Source organism: Homo sapiens, chromosome Y (assembly GCF_000001405.40).
Source record: "Homo sapiens chromosome Y, GRCh38.p14 Primary Assembly".
Classification (NCBI taxonomy): Eukaryota; Metazoa; Chordata; class Mammalia; order Primates; family Hominidae; genus Homo; species Homo sapiens.
The window spans coordinates 1,521,845-1,549,733 of NC_000024.10; the positions used below are offsets into that span (position 1 = coordinate 1,521,845).

The 27,889-nt window shown below is 45.9% G+C and overlaps 1 protein-coding gene across 6 annotated transcripts in view; it reads right to left on the reverse strand.

Annotated features, from left to right (window-relative positions):
- P2RY8 (P2Y receptor family member 8) overlaps positions 1–15,341 on the reverse strand; it is a 74,605-nt gene extending 59,264 nt beyond the window's left edge. For all 6 annotated transcript variants that reach the window (NM_178129.5, NM_001424186.1, NM_001424188.1 and 3 more), the window contains exon 1: positions 15,077–15,341. The gene's annotated coding sequence lies outside the window, so the exon portion shown is untranslated. The remainder of the gene's footprint in view (positions 1–15,076) is intronic.

The following is a 27,889-nucleotide window of genomic DNA, read 5'->3' on the forward strand; positions in this document are numbered from 1 at the left end:
GGGTCCCGCGAAGAGTGTTTATAGCCCAGAATGAGGAAGTGAGACAAGGGGTATTGCATGGTTATTTTTTCTTATGTCTTTCTCTTTCTCTCTCGCTCTCTTTTTTTTTTTTTTTTTTTTTTTTTGAGATGGAGTTTTGCTCTTGCTGCCCAGGCTGGAGTGCAATGGTGCGATCTCGGCTCACCGCAACCTCCGCCTCCCGGGTTCAGGTGATTCTCCTGCCTCAGCCTCCCGAGTAGCTGGGATTACAGGCATGCACCACCATGCCCAGCTAATTTTTTGTATTTTTAGTAGAGACGGGGGTTTCACCATGTTAGCCAGGCTAGTCTCGAACCCCTGACCTCAGGTGATCCACCCGCCTCAACCTCCCAAAGTGCTGGGATGACAGGCGTGAGCCACCATGCCCCGCCCTCTTTTTCTCGCTTAAAAAAAAAAAGGTGAGGTTTACATAATGAAATCAATCATTGTAAACGGAATACCTCAGGGGGATTTATTGCATTCATGCCTCCGTGCAGCCAATACCTCGATGTAGTTTCAGAATATTTTCCTCACCTCCCACACACGTGTGTATTGTAACTTTAAATGCAATCCTCAGATGACAAGGCTCGGAATCGTCGTGCACGCACAGAGATTCAACAACCAAGATGCGATAATTATAGTACACTGGCCAGGCACGTTGTCTCATGCCTCTAGTCCCAGCACCTTGGGAGGCCAAGGCAGGAGAGTGGCTTCAGGCCAGGAGTTCAAGATGAGCCTAGGCAACATAGCAAGACACTTTCATTAGCCGGGCGTGGTCAGTGCCTGTAATCCCAGCTACTTGGGAGGCTGAGGTGGAAGGATTGCTTGAGGCCAGGAGTTAGAGGCTGCAGTGAGCTATGATGAAGTCACTGCACTCCAGCCTGGGCAACAGAGCAAGACTCTGCCCCTAAAAATAAAAATTAAGGCCGGGCGTGGTGGCTCACACCTGTTATCGCAGCACTTTGGGAGGCTAAGACAGGCGGATCACTCGAGGTCAAGAGTTCGAGACCAGCCTGTCCAATATGGCGAAACCCCATCTCTACTAAAAATACAAACATTAGCTGGGCATGGTGCCACATGCCTATAATCCCAGCTACTCGGGAGGCTGAGGCAGGAGAGTCACTTGAACCCGGGAGGCAGAGGTTGCAGAAAGCCGAGATTGCACTACTGCACTCCAGCCTGGGCGACAGAGAGAGACTCCATCCCCCACTGCCAAAAATAAATAAATAAATAAATAAATAAATAAATAAATAAATAAAACAAAAATTGAAAAAAATAAAAAAAAGATATAGCAAATAGTTTGGAGTAGCAGTTAAGGGTGTGACCTTTGTGGCTGGTGCAGTTGGAGGTAATGCCCCAGCCAGGTGAGGGTGTGCCTTCCTTTCTGTGTCCCTCAGTTTCCCCTAAGCAAAATGGGGATGTCAGCAGAGCTTTCTCAAAGGGTGTCACTTTAGTCCCTAAAATCTTCCCTGTTCCCCAATATTCTCCCTGGTACCTAATCGTCTCCTTGGTCCCTAATCATCTCCCTGGTCCCCAATATTCTCTGAGTTTCACAATTCTTGCATTTAGCATAGAATTTTTGAGGTTCATCCATATTGTAGCGGTATCAATACTTTCTTCCCATTTAGGCTGAAAAATATTGCAGATTTGTGATTGCCAGAGGGAGGAGGGAAGGGAGAAGTGGGAGCGATTGCAAATAGGTACAGGTCTCCTTCTGAGCGTCATAAAAATGTATTGGAAGTACACAGAGGTGATGATTGTACAACACTCTGAACGAGCTAAATACCACTGCGTTGTATTGAAGATGGTAAATTTATTATTATTATTATTTATTTCTTGAGACGGAGCCTCCCTCTGTCGTCCAGCCTGGAGTGCAGTGGCACGATCTGTGTTCATCACAACTTCCGCCTCCCGGGTTCAAGCGATTCTCCTGCCTCAGCCTCCCCAGTAGCTGGGATTATAGGTGCCGCACCACCACGCCCGGCTAATTTTGTATTTTTAGTAGAGACAGGATTTCACTAAAAAACCCTGTTGGCCAGGCTGGTCTGGAACTCCTGACCTCAAGTGACCCACCTGCCTTGGCCTCCCAAAGAGCTGGGATTACAGGCATGAGCCACTGTGCCCGGCAAAGATGGTGAATTTTGTTATGTGAATTTCACCTCAATAAATTAAAACAAATAAAACAGCAGTATTTATTTTGGTGACTGAGTTTTTTGGCATTGGAGTGTCTACACGTCTCCCCGTAACCCCGTTCCTGTTTGATTTTCTCATCTGCAATGTAGCGATGGGGTAGAATTGGGTCTTGTACTCAGGGTTGTTTCAAGAGTTTGATGGTGTGGGGGGAGCATTGAGAATGTCCCTTTGTACACAGTAGGCTTGTCACACTTGCCAGCTGCTTACCCCCCTCTCTTCTGCGGATCCACTCATCCCTTTATTCACTCATTCATCCGCTCATTCATTCCTCATCCATCCATGCATCCATCCATTCATCCATCCATCCATCCATCCACTCATCCATCCATCCATCCATCCCTCCATCCATGCATGCATCCATCCATCCATCCATCCATCCATCCATTCATCCATCTATCCATCCATCCATCCATCCATTCATCCACTCATCCATCCATACATCCACGCATCCATCCATCCATCCATCCATCCATTCATCCATCCATCCATCCATCCATGCATGCATCCATCCATCCATCCATCCATCCATCCATCCATCCATTCATCCATCTATCCATCCATCCATCCATTCATCCATCCATCCATCCATACATCCATCCATCCATCCATCCATTCATCCATCCATCCATCCATCCATCCATCCATCCATCCACTCATCCATTCATCCATCCATCCATACATCCATGCATCCATCCATCCATCCATCCATCCATCCATCCATCCATCCACTCATCCATTCATCCATCCACTCATCCATCCATCCATCCATCCATCCATCCATCCATCCATCCATCCACTCATCCATTCAACCATCCACTCATCCATCCATCCATCTATCCATCCATCCATCCATCCATCCATCCATCCACCCACCCATCCATCCACTCATTCATTCACCTGTCTACAGTGAGGGTCTGTGTCCATTCAGCTGCTCAAGAAGGTGGTCTCAGGGTGGGGGCAGCTTCTTCACCCTCTCATAGTCCTGTAGCCAGGGTCTGTCACCTTGCAGGGAGTTGTGCTCCACAGCAGTGCAGAGGGTTTGAGTGGGGACCCCCCAAAATCCCTATTGGTGCAATAAATCCTCTCTCCTCCTCTGATTAGGCCAAGGAGCTCAGTGTTTTGTGAAGAATTTGTTTGGAGAGTGTTTTGAGTTGGATTGCATCCCTTTGAAAGACACATTCAAAGCCTCAACATAGGTACCTGTGAATATAGGACCTTATTTGGAAATAGGATCTTTGCAGATGGGATTAAGGTGTAAGTTAGGATGACATCATACTGCATTTGGGTGGGGACTTAATCCTATGGGACTGGGGTCCTTCTAAGAAGAGACTGGGACGCAGACATGCACAGAGGGAAGATTGCTGTGTGAAGACAGAGGCAGAGATTGGAGGGAGGCATTCCCAAGCCCAGGGACGTCAAGGATGGCAGAGGATCAGAAGCTGGAGAGACGCAGGAAAGATTCTCCCCAAAGCCTCAGAAACAGTATGCATTAATTCGGGGCAATTGACTGGAAATCAGCTCCTTTCTTGTTTCATCCGTCTATTCACCTATTGACTCAATCATGCATCCATCCATTCATCCATTCATCCATCCATCCACCCATGAATTCATTTATCCATGTATGTATTCATGCATCCATTCATTCACTCATTCATTTATCCATCGGTTCATTCATCCACTCACTCATTCCTTATCCATCCACTCATCCATCCATCTGTCCATCCATCCATCCATCCATTTATCCATACATCCACTATTCATTCGCCCATTCATTTATTCATGCATCCATTCATTCACTCATTCATCTATTCATTCATTCATTTATTCCTTATCCATCCACTCATCCATCCTTCCATTCATCCATCCATCCATCCATTCAGTCATCCATCCACTTATCAATACACCCACTATTCACTCACCCATTCATTTATTCATGCATCCATTCACTCACTCATTCATTTATTCATTCATTCCTTATCCAGCCGCTCATCCATCCATCTATTCATCCATCCATCCATCTACTCAGTCATCCATCCATTTATCAATACACCCACTATTCAGACACCCATTCATTTATTCATGAATCCATTCGTTCACTCATTCATTCATTCATTCATCCACTCATTCATTCCTTATCCATCCACTCATCCATCCATCTGTTCATCCATCCATCCATTTATCCATACATCCACTATTCATTCACCCATTCTTTCATGCATCCATTCATTCACTCATTCATTCATTCCTTATCCAGCCGCTCATCCACCCATCCATTCATTCATCCATCCATCCATCTACTCAGTCATCCATCCATTTATCAATACACCCACTATTCACTCACCCATTCATTTATTCATGCATCCATTCATTCATTCATTCATTCATTCGCTCATTTATTCCTTATCCAGCCACTCATCCATCCATCCATTTATCCATCCATCCATCCATTCAGTCATCCATGCATGGATGGATGGATGCATCCACCACTCATCCATCCAAAACTCACTCATTCATCCATTCATTCATTTATGCCTTTAATCATTCACCCATTTATTCAGTAATTCATTTATGCATCCACTCATTTATCCACTCATTCATTCCTTATCCATCCACTTATTCAGCATTCATCCATCCATCCATCCATCCAATTCATCCATCTATCCATCTATACAGCCATCTACTCATTCATTCATCCATTTACTTACTCATCCATCCATTAATTCATTTATCCATGTGTTTATTCATGCATCGATGAATTCACTCATTCATTTACCCACGCATTCATTCAGCATCTATTTATTCACTAAATCATTTATTCATCTATTCATTCATTTCTTTTCTTTTCTTTTCTTTTTGAGACCGAGTTTCACTCCTGTTGCCCAGGCTGATGTGCAACAGCTCGATCTTGGCTCATTGCAACATCTGCCTCCCGGGTTCAAGGGATTCTCCTGCCTCAGCCTCCCAAGTAGCTGGGATTACAGGCGCCCACTACCACGCCTGGCTAATTTTTGTATTTTTTAGTAGAGACGGGGTTTCACCACGCTGGCCAGGCTGGTCTTAAATTCCTGACCTCAGGTGATCCGCCTACCTCAGACTCCCAAAGTGCTGGGATTACAGGCGTGAGCCACCGCGCCCAGCCTATTCATTCATTTCTTATCCATCCACCTACCTATCCATCTGTTCATCCGTCCATCTATTTATTCATTCATCTACTCATTCATTCATTCATCCACTTATTCATTCCTTATCCATCCACTCATCTATCCATCCATCCATCCATCCGTTTATCCATCCACTTATCCATACATCCACTATTCATTTGCCCATTCATTTATTCATGATCCATTCATTCACTCATTCATTTATCTATTCATTCATTCATTTATTCCTTATCCATCCACTCATCCATCCATCCGTTCATCCTTCAATCCATCCATTCAGTCATCCACCCATTTATCAATACACCCACTATCATTCACCCATTCATGTATCTATTCATTCAATCATTTATTCCTTATTCATCCACCTATCTATCCATCTGTTCATCCATCCATCCATTTATTCATTCATCTACTCATTCATTCATCCATCCAATCATCCCTTCATTCATTCATTCATCCACTCATTCATTCCTTATCCATTTACTCATCTATCCATCCATCCATCCATCCATCCATTCATCCATTCATCCACTCTTCATTCACCTGTCTACATATCCATCCATCCACTCACTAATGTACTAATCCACTCATTCACTCATTCATTCATTTATTCATTCACCCATCTATTTATGCAGCCATCCATTCAACCATCCAACAAACAGTACTGAGGCCATGTTAATCTATTCTGGTCTCTCATCTACAAAGTCACAGCCCCTACAGGGACCCTGCTCATTCATTCCCTGTGGCTGAGACTGAAGGGGTATCTCCTGTTTCTATTCCACGTGTGGCCACCTGCTGGTCTGTCCCTGTCCTGAGTGCAGGAGTAGTCTCATTCTCCTCCACCCCAAGAACAGATGAGTGATAAATAAATACCTGGAGACAGAATGCCTCCAACCCCAGGGTAATAGCCTGAGTATCCTAGAAGTTTCCTGTGTTCATGCCAAGAGCTTGTGATGGACATATGGACACTGTAGATGGACAACAGCGCCTTCACTGAGCAGCTAGTGCCTGGGAGGCCTCCAGCTTCACTGAGCCTCAGGTTTCATCTATTGCATCTCACAGAGAGGCTGTCTGCAACATGCCCATTTCAACCACTGGCTGAGAGGCTCATGCAGGTATGCATGTGACAGGGCTCCTTGCTGGAGAGTGGGTTCCTGGAGATTCCATCAGAGCTACTGCTGCACAACTGCCCCTTGAGGAGGCCATCACAGCTCTGAGCAGCAGGCGCTGCCAGTCAGCACCGTGTGAACTCAAAGTCTTGCATTCATCCTCATACGACATCTTCAAAACCACTTTAAACGTCCCAGGGAAGCCCGGAGGAGCAAGTGCTTCCAAGAGGCTGGCTCTGGTCTTTGGATTGAGTGTGGATTTGAGTCTCTTTGAATGAGTGTGGATTTGAGTTTCTTTGAATGAGTGTGGATTTGAGTCTCTTTGAATGCGTGTGGGTTTGAGCCTCTTTGAATGATTGTGGACTTGAGTCTCTTTGAATGAGTGTGGATTTGAGTCTCTTTGAATTCGTGTAGGTTTGAGTCTCTGAATGAGTGGACTTGAGTCTGTTTGAATGAGTATGGATTTGAGTCTCTTTGATTGCGTGTGGGTTTGAGTCTCTTTGAATGAGTGTGGATTTGAGTCTCTTTGAATGAGTGTGGACTTGAGTCTCTTTGAATGAGTTGGATTTGAGTCTCTTTGAGTGTGGATTGGAGTCTCTGAATGTGCGTGGATTTGAGTCTCCTCATTCCTGCACTTTTTCAGTTCCCTTTGTTGCATGGGACAGTATAAATGACGCTCCCCATTGATCCAGTTTTGCAAGTAAAAATGTCACATGTGGAAGCCAGCATTTAGTCCTCGGGCAGATAAGCATGTTTGATGAGAATAACACGTACACACAGCGGGGCCCTTGGTCTTGGAAAGGTGGAGAATAAATCCTCCATTTCCCCTGAGACCTGACCTGCACAGGGAATATCTGCTTAATCTACACATGTGTGGCTTGTAACGACAGAGTCTCTTCAATTCTACTTACTTTATTATAGTAACAAGAGCATGCATACAGCACATTGGGAGATGGAGAAATGGAAGGAAGTGATCCAGAGTCCCTTGACCCAGCCCATTCTCTCCCTGAGACCTGGGGGATGGGACATGATCTTGCTTCTCCTTCCAGGTCTCTGGAAGGATCATCTTGTCTTATCTTGCCTGCCTCTCACCCTGTGGTTCAGAATTGCGGGAGATTCTGTTCCAGTGGGGATGCTTGTCTATATCTTGGGCAGTTTGGGGTGTCACAACTGGAGGGTGTACTCCTGGGGCGTGGTGGGTGGAGCCTGGGAAGATGCTCAGTGCCCTGCAGTGCACAGGATAGGCTCAACACAGAGAATCCTCCAGCCCTACATGGCAGCAGTGCTGAGGCTGACACCCTGCCTGAGCATGAGAGAGTCTCTGTTAGTGACTATCTATCCATCTATATCTATCTATCATATCTATCATTTATCAATTTATCTATATATCATATCTAGCTCTCTGGCACCTATATCTATTTATTTATTAATCTTCTCTGTCTGTCATCTATCTATACCTTTCTAGCATTTATCTCTCATCTCTATCATTTATCTGCCTACCATTTGACAGTGGTTTCAACTAGGGGTGATTTTTCTCATCACGGCACACTGGGTAATGTCTGAGGACAGTTCTGGTTGTCGCAACTGTGGGGGTGCTCCTGGCATCTGGTGGGTGGATCCCGGGGATGCTTCTCAATACCTTACACTGCACAGGATGGCCCCACCACAGAGAATCACCCGGCCCCAAATGTCTATAGTGTTGACGTGGAAAGATCCTGCTTTTAGTATAGAGAATCTCTCCTCTCTCTCTCTCTCTCCGTCATCCATCTATGTATCCATGTATCTATGTATCTATGCATCTATGTATGTATGTATGTATGTATGTATGTATGATCTATCTATCTATCTATCTATCTATCTATCTATCTATCTATCTATCTATCTATCTATGTATCCATGTATCTATGTATGTATCTATCTATCTCTATTACCTATCATCACCATTATCTATCTATCTATCTATCTATCTATCTATCTATCTATCTGTCATCTATCTATATGTATGTACATATCTATCTATCTTATCTATTGCTCATCTATCTAGGTATCTCTCTAATCTATCATCTATCTCTCTAATCTATTAATGCACCTATGTATGTATCTATGTATCTATCTATCTAATCTATTTATCCATGTATGTATGTATGTATCTACCTATCTAATCTATGTATGTATGTATATATGTATCTAATTTATGTACGTACATATGTATGTATCTATTCTATCTATGTATCTATCTATCTGATTGATCTATCTCTCTATCATCACCATTATCTATCTATATGTATGTGTGTATCTATCTATCCTATCTATCTATCTCTCATCTATCTATGTATCTCTCTAATCTATCATCTATTTAATCTATGCATCTATATATCTATCTATCTAATCTATTTATCCATGTATGTATGTATCTATCTAATCTATGTATGTATATATCTATCTAATTTACGTATGTATCTTTTCTATCTATCTCTATTATCTATATATCTATCTGTCTATCATCACCATTATCTATCTATATCTATGTATGTATTGTCTATTCTATCTCTCATCTATCTATATATCTCTTTAATCTATCATCTATCTATCTAATCTATGCATGTATCTATGTATCTATCTATCTAATCTATTTATCCATGTATGTATGTATGTATGTACCTATCTAATTTATGTATGTATGTATATATCTATCTATTCTATGTATCTATTTATCGATTCTATCTATCTGTCTGTCTGTCTGTCTATCTATCTATCTATCTATCTATCTATCTAATTTGTCACCCATCTATCTTTAAGACAGTGATAGATGAGCAAGTGATTTTGCTACCTGGAGACATTGAGTAATATCTGGAGACATTTCTGATTGTCACAACTGTGGGTGCTCCTGGCACCTTGTGGCTGGAGCCCAGGGACGCTGCTCTACACCCTACAATCCCCAGGATGGCCCCACCACAGGGAATTCCCCCGCCCCAAATGTCACTAGTGCTCCAGCAGACAGCCTGTGCCTTTTGTGTCTCATGAATGGTTCTATCCCAAGATCTGTCCTTGCCCCATCTTCCTGCATGCCCTCTCCATCAGGGGTCCCCCTGCTTACAGGGTCCCCCGTAAACAATGTCCAGGCCCCCTCCCAGCCTGACTGTGCCCAGCCCGAGGGGTTAGCATGCTCAGCCCACCCCCAGCTCATGAACTCCTGGGGAGCCTGGACAGCACATTGCCATTCCACCAACTCATCATCCGAAACCAACACAGCCTGGCACCTGCCACCTGCTTCTGTCTGTGCCACTCCCTGCCCAGCCATGGAGAGTCTCATAGGACTCCTCCCTCCCATGGAGACCTTCTTGGCTAGAAAATCACACATCCTGCTTCCACAAAGTCCCTCTGCTCAGGGCACCAGCACCTTTCCCCTGGAGCAGGGCACTCTGCACAAAAGCATCAACGCAGTCCTCAAGGTCCCAGCCCGGCTCAGCGGCATGAAAACACGCTCAACATCACGAATGATCAGGGAAATGCAAATCAAAAGCAGAATGTGACATCACCTCACTCCTGCAAGAATGGCCACAATCAAAACATCAAGAAATAGCAAATGCTAGTGTGGATGTGGCGAACAGGGAACACGTCTGCACTGCTGGTGGGAACGTAAACTAGTACAGCCACTATAGAAGACAGTGTGGAGAGTCCTTAAAGAGCTAAATGTAGAACTACCATTTGATCCAGCAATCCCACTGCTGGGTATCTAGGTAGAGGAAAGTAACTCATTATATGAAAAAGATACTTAGAGGAAAGTAACTCATTATACGAAAAAGATACTTGCACAGGCATGTTTATAGCAGCACAATTTGCAATTGCAAAAATGTGGAACCAACCCAAATGCCCATCAATCAACAGGTGGATAAAGAAACTGTGGTGTATTTATATATATAAATGCCGGCACTGACACACACACAAACACACACACATATATGTCATATATATGTGTGCCATATATATACACACACGTATATATACACATATATGTATATGATGTGTATATATACACATATACGTATATGATGTGTGTATATGCACATATATGTATATATGTATATGATGTGTATATATACACATATATGTATATATGTATATGTGTATATATACACATATATGTATAGATGTATATGTGTATATATACACATATATGTATAGATGTATATGATGTGTATATATATATACATATACTTATGATGGAATACTACTCAGTCATGAAAAAGAATAGCATTTGGAGTGGCCTGGATGAGATTGGAGACTATTATTCTAAGTGAAGTAACTCAGGAATGGAAACCCAAACATCGTATGTTCTCACTCATAAGTGAGAGCTAAGCTATGAGGATGCAAAGGCATAAGAATGCCACAACGGCCGGATGCGGTGGCTCACACCTGTCATCCCAGCACTTTGGGAGGTCGAGGTGGGCAGATCACAAGGTCAGGAGTTTGAGACCAGCCTGGCCAATATGGTGAAACCCCGTCTCTACTAAAAATACAAAAATTAACCGGGTGTGGTGGCACATGCGTGTAATCCCAGTTACTCAGGAGGAGGCTGAGGCAGGAGAATCGCTTGAATCCGGGAGAAGGAGGTTGCAGTGAGCCGAGATCGCGCCACTGCTCTCCAGCCTGGGCAACAGAGTGAAACTCTGTCTCAAAAAAAAAAAAAAAAAAAAAAACGAAAGAAAGAAAAAAGAAAAAAAAAGGAATGACACAAAGGACTTTGGGAACTCCAGGGCAAAGATTGGGGAGAGGATGAGGGATAAAAGGCCACAAACCGGGTTCAGTGTATACTGCTTGGGTGACGGATACCCTGAAATCTCACACATCACCACTAAAGAACTTCCTCGTGTAACCAAATGGCACGTGTTTCCCCAAAACCTATGGAAGTAAAAAGTGTAAAACAAACCAACAAAAACACACATCAGCTTCTGAAAAAATCTTCTGAGGAGTGTGCTTTCTTGAGGCAAATAAAAGAGATTGCCAAAAATAATATATATATATTCATATATTACATATTTACATATTTATTATTTAAACATATATTTATGTATTTTTTATTATTTATATATTATATATTTATATATTTATTATTTAAATATATTGTATATTTATATATTATTTATTCTTTATATCTTATATACTTATATATTTATTATTTAAATGTATTGTATATTTATATTTTATTTATTATTTATATATTATATACTTATATATTTATTATTTAAATATATTATATACTTATATATTTATTATTTAAATATATTATATATTTATATATTATTATTTACATATTTATTATTTACATATTTATTATTTAAATATATTTTATATTTATATATTATTTATATATTATATACTTATATATTCATTATTTAAATATATTATTCATATATTATTTATTATTTATATATTATATACTTATATATTTATTATTTAAATATACTATATATTCATATATTATTTATTATTTATATATTATATACTTATATTTATTTAAATATATTATGTATTTATATATTATTTATTATTTATATATTATATACTTATATATGTATTATTTAAATATATTATATATTCATATATTATTTATTATTTACATATTACATAGTTATATATTTATAACTTAAATATATTATATATTTATATATTATTTATATATTACATATTTACATATATTATATACTTATCTATTTATTATTTACATATATATTTGTATATTATTTATATATAATATATTTACATATATATTTATATATAATATATTTACATATATTATATATTTATATATATTTACATATATATTTATATACAATATATTTACATATATTATATATTTATATATATTTACATATATATTTATATACTTACTATTTATATATTATATATTATTTATATATAATTATTTATATAATTATATATGTAATACATATATATATACACACACACAGATAGGTGTATCTGTTGCTTTATCCTAAGTGAACACAGATACTGCATCACTAGGGAGCGACATTGTGAACCGCAGAACACTCCCTGCAGTCCCCTGAGCTCAGTCTGGTCCTTGGGGGTGATCCTGGGGGCACCCATCACGCCCACGCCCTTTCCGTACCTTAACAGGTGTAGGCAGGGTGTTGTGTGTCTCCCAGGGGCCGTGCAGAATCTCCTAACCCGAGAGAGGAAGAGCAGGGTTCCAGGTGGACACTGGGATCCCTGGACCCTGCCCCGCCCACCCCACTGCCTCTAGGGACAGAAGAGGGGCTGGGGGAGGGAGGTTGGGGACCATGCCCAGACACAGCCAATGAGGAGGTCCTGATGGAGAGGCAGGGCTGAAGGAGAGGGCGCAGGAGAGAGACTCAGACGAGAGGGGGCCATCTGCCCGGGGAAAGGGCCTCTCCAAGCGCAGGGCTGTACGTATGCACCACTGGCAACAGCTACCCTGCTGTTGTTAATCCTAAGCCATCGCTTCTTCCCTGGAACTTTAAGGGACAAACTCAGAACTGCAGTGTGGGTAGGGTTGGAGGGAGGGAGCGTCTCTGTGGTTCTCCAAGGGGACCTCACCTCTCCCACCCACCCCAAGGTTGGTCAGTCTGAATGGTGCAGCCAGGCGGGGACCTGGCAGAAGGCATCTGAAAAGCATGTGCTTTTACAAACACAGGGTTGCCCACCGTCCCGTACGTCCCATGCACGCCTCTCTCAGCCTCTGACCTAATTGTCCTCTTGTGGGGTGGGGGAGGCCAATATTTGGGAAAAGGGGCAGCATCCTGGTGCACGTAGGACGCTGGCACCTGTCTGGCAGTGCCTAAATGAAAGTACTGCTTTTCCAATGTGGGATAATTCCTTTTTTTTTTTTTTTTTTTTTGAGACAGAGTCTCACTCTGTCACCCAGGCTGGAGTGCAGTGGCGCGATCTTGGCTCACCGCAACCTCCGCCTCCTGGGTTCAAGTGATTCTGCTGCCTTAGCGTGCCGAGTAACTGGGATGACAGGTGCCCGCCGCCACACTCGGCTAATTTTGGTATTTTTAGTAGAGACGGGGTTTCACTATGTTGGCCAGGCTGGTCTCAAACCCCTGACCTCAAGTGATCCACCCACCTCGGCCTCCCAAAGTGCTGGGATTACAGGCGTCTGTCACCGCCGTAAACACAAAATATGCTACTATCTGGCGCTGCTTGCCAAAGTCAAGTGGGCTATGCAAGGAGGAACGGAACGGGAAGGAGAGATTGAACGGCGCAGTCAGGTGCACCTGCTTCCCCACGGGCTTCAGCTCCTCAGCGGTTTTCACTTAGGGCTCTCGCGCTTCAGACTTCTCATCCACGTTACGTAAAGATAACAACATGGGAAGAAACAACCACACACACACACACACACACAGACACACACACAGACACACACACACACACACACACAAACCCTTTTCTTTTTGGGAACAGAGCCACGTGACCATGGTTCCCCTTTATAGAAATGGGACCTAAAGCGCCACAGCAGGCCTTGTTGTGTGTGGCCTGAAATTCCCAGAGCAGCTCCCTCTGCCTTTTCTCAGCTTTTTAGGGGACAGATCTGACAAGACCCAAGGAATTGGGGTTTCTAAGCGGACCTGTACAAATGAGGTCTGAGGTGGCCGTGAGACCCGGGTCTGGGGTCTCCCTGGCACCGAGGGGGTGACGAGGGGCCACCGTGCTCATCCAGGCACCCATAGGGCTTTAAAACCCGTTTAATTTATGCTTACTCTTCCATTATTGGAACGCTAAGCATTTGGGAGTTATTTATATCCCACGGCTCAAGGTCATCGCCAAGGTCTCATTGCAAACATTGAAAAAACTGCAATCTCAGGCGTAAATGGGTTACGTGCAGCAGCCGCAGCTGCTTACCCTCTCTAAGGTTAACCTCAAGAGAGGCGCATTTCATGGAATGAGTTTTTTTTTGTTTTTTTTTTTCTAAACAGAGTCTCGCTCTGTCGCCCAGGCTGGAGTGCAGTGGCGTGATCTCTGCTCACTGCAAGCTCCACCTCCAGGGATCATGCCATTCTCCTGCCTCAGCCTCCCGAGTAGCTGGGACCGCAGGCGCCCACCACCAAGCCCAGCTAATTTTTGTATTTTTAGTAGAGACGGGGTTTCACCGTGTTAGCCAGGATGGTCTCGAACTCCTGACCTCAGATGATCCACCCACCTCGGTCCCCCAAAGTGCTGGGATTACAGGCACCTGCCACCACGCCTGGCTAATTTTTGTATTTTTAGTAGAGACGGGGTTTCACCGTGTTAGCCAGGATGGTCTCGAACTCCTGACCTCGTGATCCGCCCACCTCGGCCTCTGAAAGTTCATGGAATGAGTTATTAAAGGAAGGGTGGCTTGCAGCCCTGGAAAATTTGAGCATTTCTCCCCTAAGTGACGAAGCGGCTGTGCAAAGTCTTCCTCCCAGGAAATTTGCACTCCTGGTCTGCTCTAGCGTGAGGAGAACACGCCTCATGGAGTTTGCACCGTCTTCCCCCATGTTCTCACCGTACACGGACCCTCCCAGCGACCCTGTCTTCTCCCTTGACAGTGCAGGACAAGCATAAAAGTCCAGCTCGGCGGCTCACCTGTGCAGAAGCAGCGGCAGAAGTAGCAGGTGAGAGCTCAGAGGGTCTCCAGGTAACAGGATGCAACGCTTAAGTCGACGGCCGTGCCTCAGAGCCCGGGACTCGGGGGGCCAGCCACCAGCTTGCAAGCCGTGGTCACTCAAAGTGCTTGAGAAGGTGTTCGTGGGCGGCAGACGGCTGCCCTTCCAGTTCCATCTGTCCAGCAACCTTGCAAAGGCGGCCGCTTCGCTGGGTGGCCCACCGGCTGGCACGACTGTCTCCGAATGCAAATTCTGCAAACTCCACCTCCCAGCGCACCACCACGGTTGCGACTCAGGCTTAGGTGGAAAGGAAGTGTGTTGTGACATTTCCTCTGTAACTGTCTGAACACTCATGTGCAGGGCTGAGCCCACTGGAGTAACGTCGCTGTGTCTCTGGGCAGCACCGTTAACCGCCCACCTCCCTATCACTGGCTCGCAGGGGGCCCTACTCTTAAGAGAACCCTGAGAGTGAGGAAAAGAGGGAGAATGATTTTTCTAAATTTTGTAACCAGCAGTGAAGAGCCGTGGCATGCTCCAGAACCGATTCCTGTTTCTTCTGAAATAACAAAACAAAACAAAGAAAGAACAGAACACGTTTCCTTTTAGACTCTAAAGCTGTGCTCATTGCGACATCTCTTGGTACACAGCCAGACTGTGACAAGCGAACAGACCTTGGGCACTGATCATTCCGGCTCTCACAGTTGGTCACGGGCGCTGCAGGCTCATATCCTCAACATCCCATGGGGGATCGGCCAGTTTCAGGAATGAGAACCAGGTTTCCGAGCTCTGGTATCCTTGCTTGTGAGGAGCAACGGTTGGTTCTTGTCACTCGTGGGAGGAGGTTGAGAGGGAAGGATCTGTCACTGAGAAAGAATGAATGAATATTGAACCACTGCTCAGGGAAAAGACATGGTAGAATCAATCCCTCAAGCCAGGCTGGGTGTGGTGGCTCACGCCTGTAGTCCCAGCACTTTGGGAGGCCAAGGCGGGTGGATCACTTCAGGTCAGGAGTTTGAGACCAGCCTGGCCAACATGGCGAAATCCCGTCCCTACTAAAAACACAAAAATTAGCTGGGTGTGGTGGTGGACACCTGTAGTCCCAGCTACTGGGGAGGCTGAGGCAGGAGAATCACTTGAACCTGGGAGGTGGAGGTTGCAGTGAGCCAAGATCAGGCCATTGCACTCCAGTCTGGGTGACAGTGAGACTGTCCCAAAAAACAAACAAACAAACAAAAAGACCAGGCCTGCTGGCTCACGCCTATAATCCCAGCACTTTGGGAGGCCAAGGCGGGTGGATCACTTGAGGTCAGGAGTTCGAGACCAGCCTGGCCAACATAGCGAAATCCCGTCCCTACTAAAAATACAAAAATTAGCTGGGCATGGTGGTGGATGCCTGTAATCCTAGCTACTGGGGAGGCTGAGGCAGGAGAATCACTTGAACCCGGGAGCTGGAGGTTGCAGTGAGCCAAGATCAGGCCATTGCACTCCAGCCTGGGTAACAGAGTGAGACTGTCTCAAAAAAAAAAAAAAAGTCGAGGCCTGGTGGCTCACACCTGTATTCCCAGCACTTTGAGGTGCCAAGGTGGGCCGGATCACTTGAGGTCAGGAGTTCGAGACCAGCCTGGCCAACATAGCGAAACCTGTCCCTTAAAAATACAAAAATTAGCTAGGCGTGGTGGTGGACGCCTGTAATCCCAGCTACTGGGGAGGCTGAGGCAGGAGAAGCATGTGAACCTAGGAGGTGGAGGTGGCAGTGAGCCCAGATTGGGCCATTGTACCCCAGCCTGGGTGACAGAGTGAGACTGTCTCAAAAAAAAAAAAAAAAAAAGGCCAGGCCTGGTGGCTCACGCCTATAATCCCAGCACTTTGGGAGGCCAAGGCGGGTGGATCACTTGAGATCAGCAGTTCAAGACTAGCCTGGCCAACATGGCGAAACCCTGTCTCTACTAAAAATACAAAAATTAGCTGGGTGTGATGGTGGGGGCCTGTAGTTCCAGCTACTGGGGAGGCTGAGGCAAGAGAATGACTTGAACCAGAGAGGCAGAGGTTGCAGAGAGCCGAGATCATGCCACTGCACTCCAGCCTGGGCAACAGAGAGAGACCCTGTCTCAAAAAAAAAAAAAAAAAAAATCAAAAGAATCCTTCAGGCCCCTGGTCACAGTGTTTTCTTCAACAGATCAATAAGTAGCTTTATATTATGTGTGTTTCTGTTTGAAAACACCTTATTAAGGAAATCGTTCTGTAAAAGGACATCCACACTCACAGTTCATCACAGCACTATTCACCATAGCAAAGACACAGAGTCAACCCAGGTGCTTATCCACCATGCATCGGATAAAGAAAATAGGGTACGTGACCGGCGGGTGCAGAGGCTCACGCCTGTAATCCCAGCAGTCTGGGAGGCCGAGGCAGGTGGATCACCTGAGGTCAGGAGTTCGAGACCAGACTGGTCAACATGGAGAAACCCCCTCTCTACTAAAAATACAAAAAATAATCTTGGCGTGGTGAAAGACACCTGTAATCCCAGCTATTTGGGAGACTGAGTCAGGAGGATCGCTTGAACCCGGGAGGCGGAGGTTGCAGTGAGCCGAGATCATGCCGCTGCACCCCAGCCTGGGCAACAAGAGCGAAACTCTGTCTCAAAAAATAAATAAATAAACAAATAAAAATAAAAAATAATAAAATGGGGTACATAGACACCATGGAATAGTACAAAGCTGTGAAAAAGAATGAAATCATGTCCTTTGCAGCAACTTGGATCCAGCCGGAGGCCATTCTCCAAAGTAAATTAATACAGAGACAGAAAGCCAAATACCGCATGTTCTCACTTATAAGCAGGAGGTAAACACAGGGTACTCATGGACATAAAGATGGGAACAACAGGCCAGGCGTGGTGGCTCATGCCTGTAATCCCAGCACTGTGGGAGGCCGAGGTGGGTGGATCACCTGAGGTGAGGAGTTTGAGACCAGCCTGACCAACATGATGAAACCCTGTCTGTACTAAAAACACAAAAATTAGCTGGGCATGGTCACAGACACCTGTAATCTCAGCTACTCGGGAGGCTGAGGCAGGAGAATCGCTTGAACCCGGGAAGAGGAGGTTGCAGTCGCTACTAAAAGTACAAAAATTACTCGAGCATGGTGGCACATGCCTGTAATCCCAGCTACTCAGGAGGCTGAGGCAGGAGAATCGCTTGAACCCTGGAGGTGGAGGTTGCAGTGAGCCAAGATCGCACCACTGCACTCCAGCCTGGGCAACAGGAGTGAAAATTCTGTCTCAAAAAAAAAAAAAAAGATGGGAAGAAGAGGCGTTACAGACTCCTAGAGTGGGGAGGGAGGGAGATGAAGGGCTGAAAAACTACCTACTGGGTGCTAAACTCAGTAGCTAGGTCATGAGATCATTCATACCCAAAATCTCAGCATCACACAAGATACCCTTGTAACAAACCTGCACATGTACCCCCGGAATCTAAAATAAAGTAAAGGCTGGGCACAGTGGCTCATGCCTATAATCCCAGGACTTTGGGAGGCCGAGGTGGGCGGATCACCTGAGGTCAGGAGTTCAAGACCAGCCTGGCCAACATGGTGAAATACTGTCTGTACTAAAAATACAAAAATTAGCCGGGTATGGTCACAGACACCTGTAATCTCAGCTACTAGAGAGGCTAAGGCAGGAGAATCGCTTGAACCCGGGAAGTGGAGGTTGCAGTCTCTACCAAAAATACAAAAATTAACCAGGCGTGGTGGCATATGCCTGTAGTCTCAGCAACTCGGAACGCTGAGGCAGGAGAATTGCTTGAACCCGGGAGGCAGAGATTGCAGTGAGCCGAGATCATGCCACTGCACTCCAGCCTGGGCGTCAGAGTGAGACTCTGTCTCAAAAAAAAAAAAAAAAAAAAAAAAAAAAAAGGAAAGAAAATCAAAGGCAGAGTCTATTCATCAGTTTGTGAAGTGTTTGTCTTCAGGATTACAGTGGTCCCTCCTTCTTCATGGTAGACGTGGTCCATAAAGTCGGAGCAAACGCTGAGTTAACAAATACAAACCGTCCTGCAAAAAGTCCACACTTAGACGCCTGTAGCTTTTGTACCTCTGGTCCCCAAATTTTTCACAGCTGATCCATACATAACCTTATTTTACGTGTGTTTCTGTTTAAAAAGCCGTATGGAGTCGATATTGTGGACGCAGTCACATTGAACTCACAGCCAACGGCATTATAATTCATGCCTGGGCAAAGCGTCTCTAACACACCTATTTTCTCCAGAAGACGCGCTGCAGTCTTCATGGGCTTACGGATGCTAGGCAGCTTTGCAGCTTCTGGGGCTTTTGAAACAGAAATCGCCAACAAAATGCACAAAAATGTAAAAATACCTGGCACTCAGTATACCCCCAAAAGGATGAGCTGATCCCGGAAGGCCCCCATTTTTCACCACTGTGTATCTGTTTTTGAACGTTTGCAAAATCGTCATGAGTCTTGGTTTTGGGGTTCCAAATAAATGTTAGTGTGTGGAGGAATTCACAGATATAGAAGTCGAGAATAATTTGCATTTCTTTCTTTATTCAGTCTGTCTCACTCAGGCTGGAGTGCAGTGGTGCGATCATAATTCACTGTAGCCTCCAACTCCTGGCCTCAAGCAATCCTCCTTCCTCAGCCTCCTGAGTAGCTGGGACTATGGGAGCATACTCTGCCACACCTGGCTAATTTTTTTTTTTTTTTTGAGACAGAGTCTCACTCTGTCGCCCAGGCTGGAGTACAGTGGCACAATCTTGGCTCACTGCAACCTCCATCTCCAGGGTTCTAGCCATTCTCCTGTCTCAGCCTCTGGAGTAGCTGGGATTACAGGCATGCACTACCACGCCCAGCTAATTTTTTTTATTTTTAGTAGACACGTAGTTTCACCATGTTGATCAGGTTGGTCTTGAACTCCTGACCTCAGGTGATCCACCCGCCTCGGCCTCCCAAAGTGCTGGGATTACAGGTGTGAGCCATCTTGCCTGGCCGCACCTGGCTAATTTAAAAAAAAAATTTTTTTGTGGAGTCCGGGCGTAATGGCTTATGCCTGTAATCTCAGCACTTTGGGAGGCCAAGGCAGGTGGATCATGAGGTCAGGAGATCAAGACCATCCTGGCTAACACGGTGAAACCCCATCTCTACTAAAAAATACAAAAAATTAGCCGGGCGTGGTGGCGGGCACCTGTAGTCCCAGCTACTTGGGAGGCTGAGGCAGGAGAATGGCGTGAACCTGGGAGGCGGAGCTTGCAGTGAGCTGAGATCACGCCACTGACCTCCAGCCTGGCCGACAGAGCGAGACTCCGTCTCAAAAAAAAAAAAATTTTTTTTTTTTTGTAGAAATGGGATCCTCTGTGTTGTCCTGGCTGGTCTTGACCTCCCGGGCTCAAGCCGTCCTCCTGACTTGGCCTCCCAAAGCTCTGGGGTGACAGACATGAGCCACTGCACTGGATGGATGGAATCATGAGAATTGATTATCTTTGCTAATCAGACAGAAGTGAAACAGCTGTCCCAAGGCAGACTCAGGGTCACGTGGCATTTGGAAGAGAGTCCTTTGAAAATGGGCTCTTCACGGCGAAAGCTGTGATCTTCTCTCTGCCCAAGTGTTGCTCAAATAAGTGGAGGTTGTAGGAATATTTGGACACCTTCTTCAGCTTGCTGTGAGGATGACCCATGGAGTAGGGGGATGGCCTGTAATCCCAGCACTTATGTATTATTATTATTATTACTATTATTATTATTATTATTATTGAGATGGAGTCTCACACTGTCACCCAGGGTGGAGTGCAGTGGTGTGATCTCAGCTCACTGCCACCTCCGCCTCTTCGGTTCAAGCAATTCTCCTGCCTCAGCCTCCTGAGTAGCTGGGATGACAGGTGTCTGCCACCACACCTGGCTAATTTTTTGTATTTTTAGTAGAGACAGGGTTTTGCCATGTTGGCCAGGCTGGTCTCGAACTCCTGACCTCAGGTTATCCACCCACCTTGGTCCCCCAAACTGCTGGGACTACAGGCGTGGTGGCGGGTGCCTGTAATCCGAGCTACTAGGGAGGCTGAGGCAGGAGAATCACTTGGATCCGGGAGGTGGAGGTTGCAGTGAGCTGAGATTGCATCATCGCGCTCCAGCCTGGGCAACAAGAGTGAAACTCTGTCCAAAAATAAATAAATAAATAAATAAGAAAATGGGGTACATAGATACCGTGGAATAGTATGCAGCAGTGAAAAAGAACGAAGTAATGTCCTTTCACCTTGAAATCATGTAATTACATAACGGAATCATGTAGTTTCGCCTTGCAAAGCTGTGCACAGATGGGACAGCTCCCGTCAGAAAGACACGAAGCTTATGGCTTGCAGTCGTCAAGGGCTGGACATTCAGACGGAAGAGGGAGGTGCATTGAGAAGCAGACAAGACTGGGCTATGGTTGCAGCTGACGGTCCCAGCAGAGCTCTCTGGCTACAAGCTTGCAGGCGGACATTTGGGGTCCAGGCTGCAGTGAGACCTGGGGGAGTATGACCAGGAGGGCTTGGGCTGCGAGGCCCAGATCCACTGTCTCTAAGATACGTAACCCTGGACTGTGTCGGGAGAGGCAGAAAGAGGAGATCCGGTTGCAGATGTCGGGGTGGTCAGCAGCTGGCTCGTTGGTGCTGCTGGGTTTTGTGGGATCCGTGCCTCTTCTCTCCCCATAAAAAGGGCAGGAGGCAGCCGGGCACAATGGCTCACACCTGTCATCCCAGCACTTTGGGAGGCCATGTGGGCAGGTCACAAGGTCAGGAGTTCGGGACCAGCCTGGCCAATATGGTGAAACCCCGTCTCTACTAAAAATACAAAAATTAGCCAGGTGTGGTGGCAGACACATGTAATCTCGGGTACTGTGGAGGTTGAGGCAGGGGAATCACTTGAACCCGGGAGGCGGAGGTTGCAGTGAGCCGAGATCACAGCACTGAACTCCAGTCTGGGCGACAGAGCGAGACTCCGTCTCAAAAAAAAAAAAAAAAGAAAAGGAAGGAGGCTTCAAAGTCTAGAGAACACCACTGCTGCCATCGTTCCAAGCTGGAAGTCACTGGGACACCTCTGAAACTTCGTGCTGAGGAAACTCAGATGTTGGGCTCAGCTCCTAGGCTGAACTCAGCAGGTTGGCCTGTGAAAACTTCTGTATTAACAAAGGAAAGGACTCACCAGAAAGCAACAGCTATTATCCTGGGCTTGGCAGCAAACAAGAGAACAGGTAGTGAAAATCCGGCAGTCTTTTTTCATTTTTTTTTTTTTTGAGATGGAGTCTTTCTTGCTGTTGCCCAGGCTGGAGTGCAGTGGCATGATCCTAGCTCACTGCAACCTCCGACTTCTGGGTTCGAGTGATTCTCTGCCTCAGCCTCCTGAGTAGCTGGGACTACAGGCGCCTGCCACCACGCCTGGCTAATTTTTGTATTTTTAGTATAGACGAGGTTTCACCATGTTGGCCAGGCTGGTCTTGAACTCCTGAACTCAGGTAATCCGCCTGCCTCGGCCTCCCAAAGTGCTGGGATTACAGGTGTGAGCCACTGCACCCGGCCCTGTGGTCTAATTTTAAAGGTCCAAAATCATTTGTTTCTAAAGTTTGCCCTTGTGCTAAAGCACCAGTGTATGTGTGTAATACTTGATTTGGTTATAAGCGATATTTCAAGGTAGATATTACTGTAGTAGGTTATGTAATTAAAAAGCCTTAAGCTGCTAAAACAGTATTTTTCAGAGATGTGAAATGCAGTATGGGACTAATTATTATTATTATTTTTCCTTCACTAAGTCTAAAGATAAACTATGAAATGCTCCATCATGGTGTTTGAAGGGTCCTTCCAATCTTAAAGATTCATGTTAGCTGATGAGACCCTGTCTCTACTAAAAATACAAAAATTAGCTGGGTGTGGGGGCAGGCACCTGTAGTTCCAGCTACTCGGGAGGCTGAGGTAGGAGAATTGCTTGAACCCAGGGGGCGGAGCTTGCAGTGAGCCAAGATCACGCCACTGCACTCCAGCCTGGGTAAAAGAGCGAGACTCCCTCTCAAAAAAAAAAAAAAAAAAAAAAAATTCATGTTGGCTGGTGAAACCCCATCTCTACTAAAAATACAAAAATTAGCTGGGCGTGGTGGTGGGCACCTGTAGTCCCAGCTACTCAGGAGGCTGAGGCAGGAGAATCACTTGAACCTGGGAGGTGGAGGTTGCAGTGAGCTGAGATCGCGTCACTGCACTCCAGCCTGGGTGACAGAGCGAGACTCCATCTCAAAAAAAAAAAAAAAAAGATTCATGTTGGTTTTCACTATCTCATAACGTAGGCTCCAAAAATGGTTTAGAGTATGGAGCCAAGGGTGTTTGTTTTTTGTTTGGTCAAGAGTACGTGCAAGCCAAGAGAACACTTAGCAAAAGATGTAAACTCTCTCGTAATAGATTGATGTGTTTTTTCTTTTATCAGAGTAAATGCTAAATATCAGTTAACCCAATAGCAAGTTAAAAGAAAAAAGTATGTGAGTCAGGTGAAAAATTCTGATGGTTAATGTCCTAAAGACAAGTTTGTTATTTATAAATGTGCATAATATAATTTTGCAACATAAAATTTTAAAAAATAAAATTGTTTACCCCCCTGAAAAAAGATATATCGTTATATGAATTGGTGTTCTCCAGGGAAAAGAATCAATAGAATATCTTTTTATATATACATAAGAGATAAATTTTTATCTGGGTGTGCAATGTTTATATATGTAAATATATGTGTTTTATTACATATATCTTTTGGTAGATAAGGACATATGCATATATATTTCTTTTATAGAATTTATAAATATTTATATAGTCTATACATATTACTTATTTATAAATACACACATATATATATTTTAACAACTATACAATATATGCGACTTCTTGGAAGAAACTGACTCATAGCATTATAGAGATTAAGCTGTCCCACAATCTGCTGTGTGAAAAGCTGGAGACCTGAAAGAGCCAAGGGTGTGAGTTCCCGTCTGAGTCTGAATTTCTACCTAGGAGAGTGGAGGGTATGACTTCCCATCTGAGTCTGAAGACCTGAGACCCAGGAGAGCCAAGAGTGTGAGTTCCAGTCTGAGTCTGAAGGCCTGAGACCCAGGAGAGCTGAGGGTGTGAGTTCTAGTGTGAGTGAATTTCTGAGACCCAGGAGAGCTGAGGTGGTGAGTTCCTGTCTGAGTCTGAAGGCCTGAGACCCAGGAGAGCAGAGGGTGTGAATTCTGGTGTGAGTCTGAAGGCCTGAGACCCAGAATAACTGAGGGTGTGAGTTCCTGTCTGAGTTTGAAGGCCTGAGACCCAGGATAACTGAGGGTGTGAGCTCCTGTCTGAATCTGAAGGCCTGAGACCCAGGAGAGCTGAGGGTGTGAGTTCTAGTGTGAGTCTGAATTTCTGAGACCCAGGAGAGCTGAGGTGGTGAGTTCTAGTGTGAGTCTGAATTTCTGAGACCCAGGAGAGCTGACGGTGTGAGTTCTAGTGTGAGCCTGAAGGCCTGAGACCCAGGAGAGCTGAGGGTGTGAGTTCTAGTGTGAGTCTGAATTTCTGAGACCCAGGAGAGCTGAGGTGGTGAGTTCCTGTCTGAGTTTGAAAGCCTGAGACCCAGGAGAGCTGACGGTGTGAGTTCTAGTGTGAGCCTGAAGGCCTGAGACCCAGGAGAGCTGAGGGTGTGAGTTCCAGTCTGAAGGCCTAGGGAGACCAATGTCACAGCTGAAAGCCCATCAGGCAGAAGGAATTCCCTCTTAGTTTCTGGGGAGACGGCTGTGCATAGCTGTCCACCTGCTTGACCTCTCTATGGGGCAGCTGCAGACCCTCAGGCTGGGTGCTACAGACCGATGTGGTTCAGTCATGTTCATTTCCGCATCTCGTGGGGCCATGCGTTGTATCTTGTGAGTCCGCGTTGCAGGTTGCAGGGAAAAATATGTTCATCTCTCTGACATGGTGTTTGAAGGTGTCTGAGCCGATCTGAGCTGATCCGAGGATGCCAGCTGAACCCCAGTGGGTTTAGTGACCGCCGTAAGGTTGTTTGGGGCTGTTTCTCTGAAGGAAACCAGGAACAGGATGTGTTCATGTCCCGGGAGAGCTGAGGGCCTGATGTTGAGAGAGGAACGGAAAACCGACAGGGCCTGGAGGAAGAGAGGGACAGAAATAGCAGCCCGGGCCAGGCCCCCACGTCTGCCCTGGGAAACGAGGCTGCCTGCTTCCAGGGGATCCTGTAAAGCCTGTTGTTGACCCGTAAGTTCCTGGCTGTTAGGAGCTGCCCTCCCAATGTGCACACCCAAGGGACAGAGAGACAAGGCGGCCAGGGGCTGCGGTGGGGGCCAAGCCATCGTGCCAGCTTCTCTGCTGGGTACGCAAGGTTTCAGGGCTGAGTATACCCTGAATTTTTGGGGGGTGTGTTCACCCAGGCCTGGGTGGCCTAGACAGCCCCAGGAATAGAATCCCAGACCCAAAATCAAAGCATATCCATGCAGGCCAAGTGTGGAGATGTTAGTCTATTTGCAGCAATTGGTTTAGGGATGGGGAGTGTGTTTAATGCTGCTTCTCATACCCCTTTTTCAAAATAATTGTAGGTTCACCCCCTGAATGTGGGAAACGAAGCTCATTTGCAAGTAAGGTCTTTGTAGATGTGAGAAAGGTTAGGAACTGGAGGGCTGTAGGCTCAGTTGTTCCTGCAACACGTCCTAAGCAAAATCCTGGGCATAGGCCAAGCATGGTGGCTCACGCCTGTAATCCCAGCACTTTGAAAGGCCGAGGCGGGCAGATCACTTGAGGTCAGGAGTTCGAGACCGGCCTGACCAACATGGTGAAACCCTGTCTCTACTAAAAATACAACAATTAGTCGGGCGTGGTGGTGGGCACCTGTAATCCCAGCTACTTAGGAGGCAGGAGAATCACTTGAACCCAGGAGGTGGGGTCTGCAGTGAGCTGAGATCGTGCCATTGCACTCCAGCCTGGGCAACAGAGTGAAACTTAGTCTCAAAAAGAAAACAAAAAAAAAAGGCCAGGTGCGGTGGCTCACGCCTGTAATCCCAGCACTTTGGGATGCCAAGGCGGGCAGATCACCTGAGGTCAGGAGTTCGAGAACAGCCTGACCCACATGGTGAAACCCTGTCTCTACTAAAAATACAGCAATTAGTCAGGCGTGCTGGCACACACCTGTAATCCCAGCTACTCAGGAGGCTGAGGCAGGAGAATGGCTTGAACCCAGGAGGCAGAGGTTGCAGTGAGCCGAGATCGTGCCATTGCACCCCAGCCTGGGTGACAGAGCGAAACTTAGTCTCAAAAAGAAAAGAAAAAAAAAAAAGGCCGGGTGCAGTGGCTCACGCCATAATCCCAGTACTTTCGGAGGTCGAGGCAGGTGGATCACGAGCTCAGGAGTTCGAGACCAACCTGACCAACATGGCGAAACCCTGTCTCAACTAAAAATACAACAATTAGTCGGGCGTGCTGGCGCACACCTGTAATCCCAGCTACTCAGGAGGCTGAGGCAGGAGAATGGCTTGAACCCGGGAGGCAGAGGTTACAGTGAGCCAAGATCGTGCCATTGCACCCCAGCCTGGGCAACAGAGAGAAACTCAGTCTCAAAAAGAAAAAAAAAAAAGGGCCGAGTGCAGTGGCTCACGCCTGTAATCCCAGCACTTTGGGAGGTCGAGGCAGGTGGATCACGAGCTCAGGATTTCAAGACCATCCAGCCTGGTCAACATGGTGAAACCCCGTCTCTACTAAAAATAGAAAAATTAACCAGACATGGTGGCACGTGCCTGTCATCCCAGCTATTCAGGAGGCTGAGGCAGGAGAATCCCTTGAACCCGGGAGGCGGAGGTTGCAGTGATCCCAGATCGCGCCATTGTACCCTAGCCTGGGCAGCAAGAGTGAAACTCTATCTCACAAACACACACACACACAAAAAAAAAAAGAAAAAAAGATTCTGGGCATGGATGGAGATGGGGAACAGGAAAGAAAGAGAAAGAGAAGAAAACACAGCATGGGTGGGGTCCGAAGAACCACCCAAGGCTCCATCGTCCTGGGACCTTTGAGGGATCATGTGGGACCCGCCTCAGAGCCATCCCTCTGAGACAAGTGAAGGATGGACATTGTGGGCTGAGCTGGTTTCCTCTGAACCTGGGGCAGCAGAGGAGATGGATGTGACTGTGGTCACCCTGGGGTTGTTCGGAGGACGCAGGTCTCACTGAGCCTCTGGGATCCTTGTCTTATGAGATTAATTTTTACCCATCTGTGTGCACCATCAACCTCTTAATCTTGCATGATTGACGGCCAAGCCTATTGCAGCGAAAGGCTGGTGGCTGTTTGTGGGGTGAGAAGCCGAGTGTATTTTGGGGGTACGATGCCTTGGGGCCGTTCCTGGTGTGAGTGAGGCGGTATTGGTCACCGACAGTTACTGGGCTCTGTGTGCCAGGTGGATGCACAGACTTTCTGTCATCAAACATATGTGTTACAAGAACGCTCGGGGCCGCGTGCGGCGGCTCACACCTGTAATCCCAGCACTTTGGGAGGCCGAGGCAGGCGGATCACTTAAGGTCAGGAGTTCGAGACCAGCCTGACCAACATGGTGAAACCCTGTCTCTACTAAAAATACAAAAAATTAGCCAGGCATTGGGGCGGGTGCCTGTAACCCCAGCTACTTGAGAAGCTGAGGTGAGAGAATGGCTTGAACCCAGGAGGTAGAAGTTGCGGTGAGCCGAGATCGCGCCACTGTACTCCAGCCTGGGCAACAAGAGCACAACTCCACCTCAAAAAAAAAAAAAAGGCTGGGCGC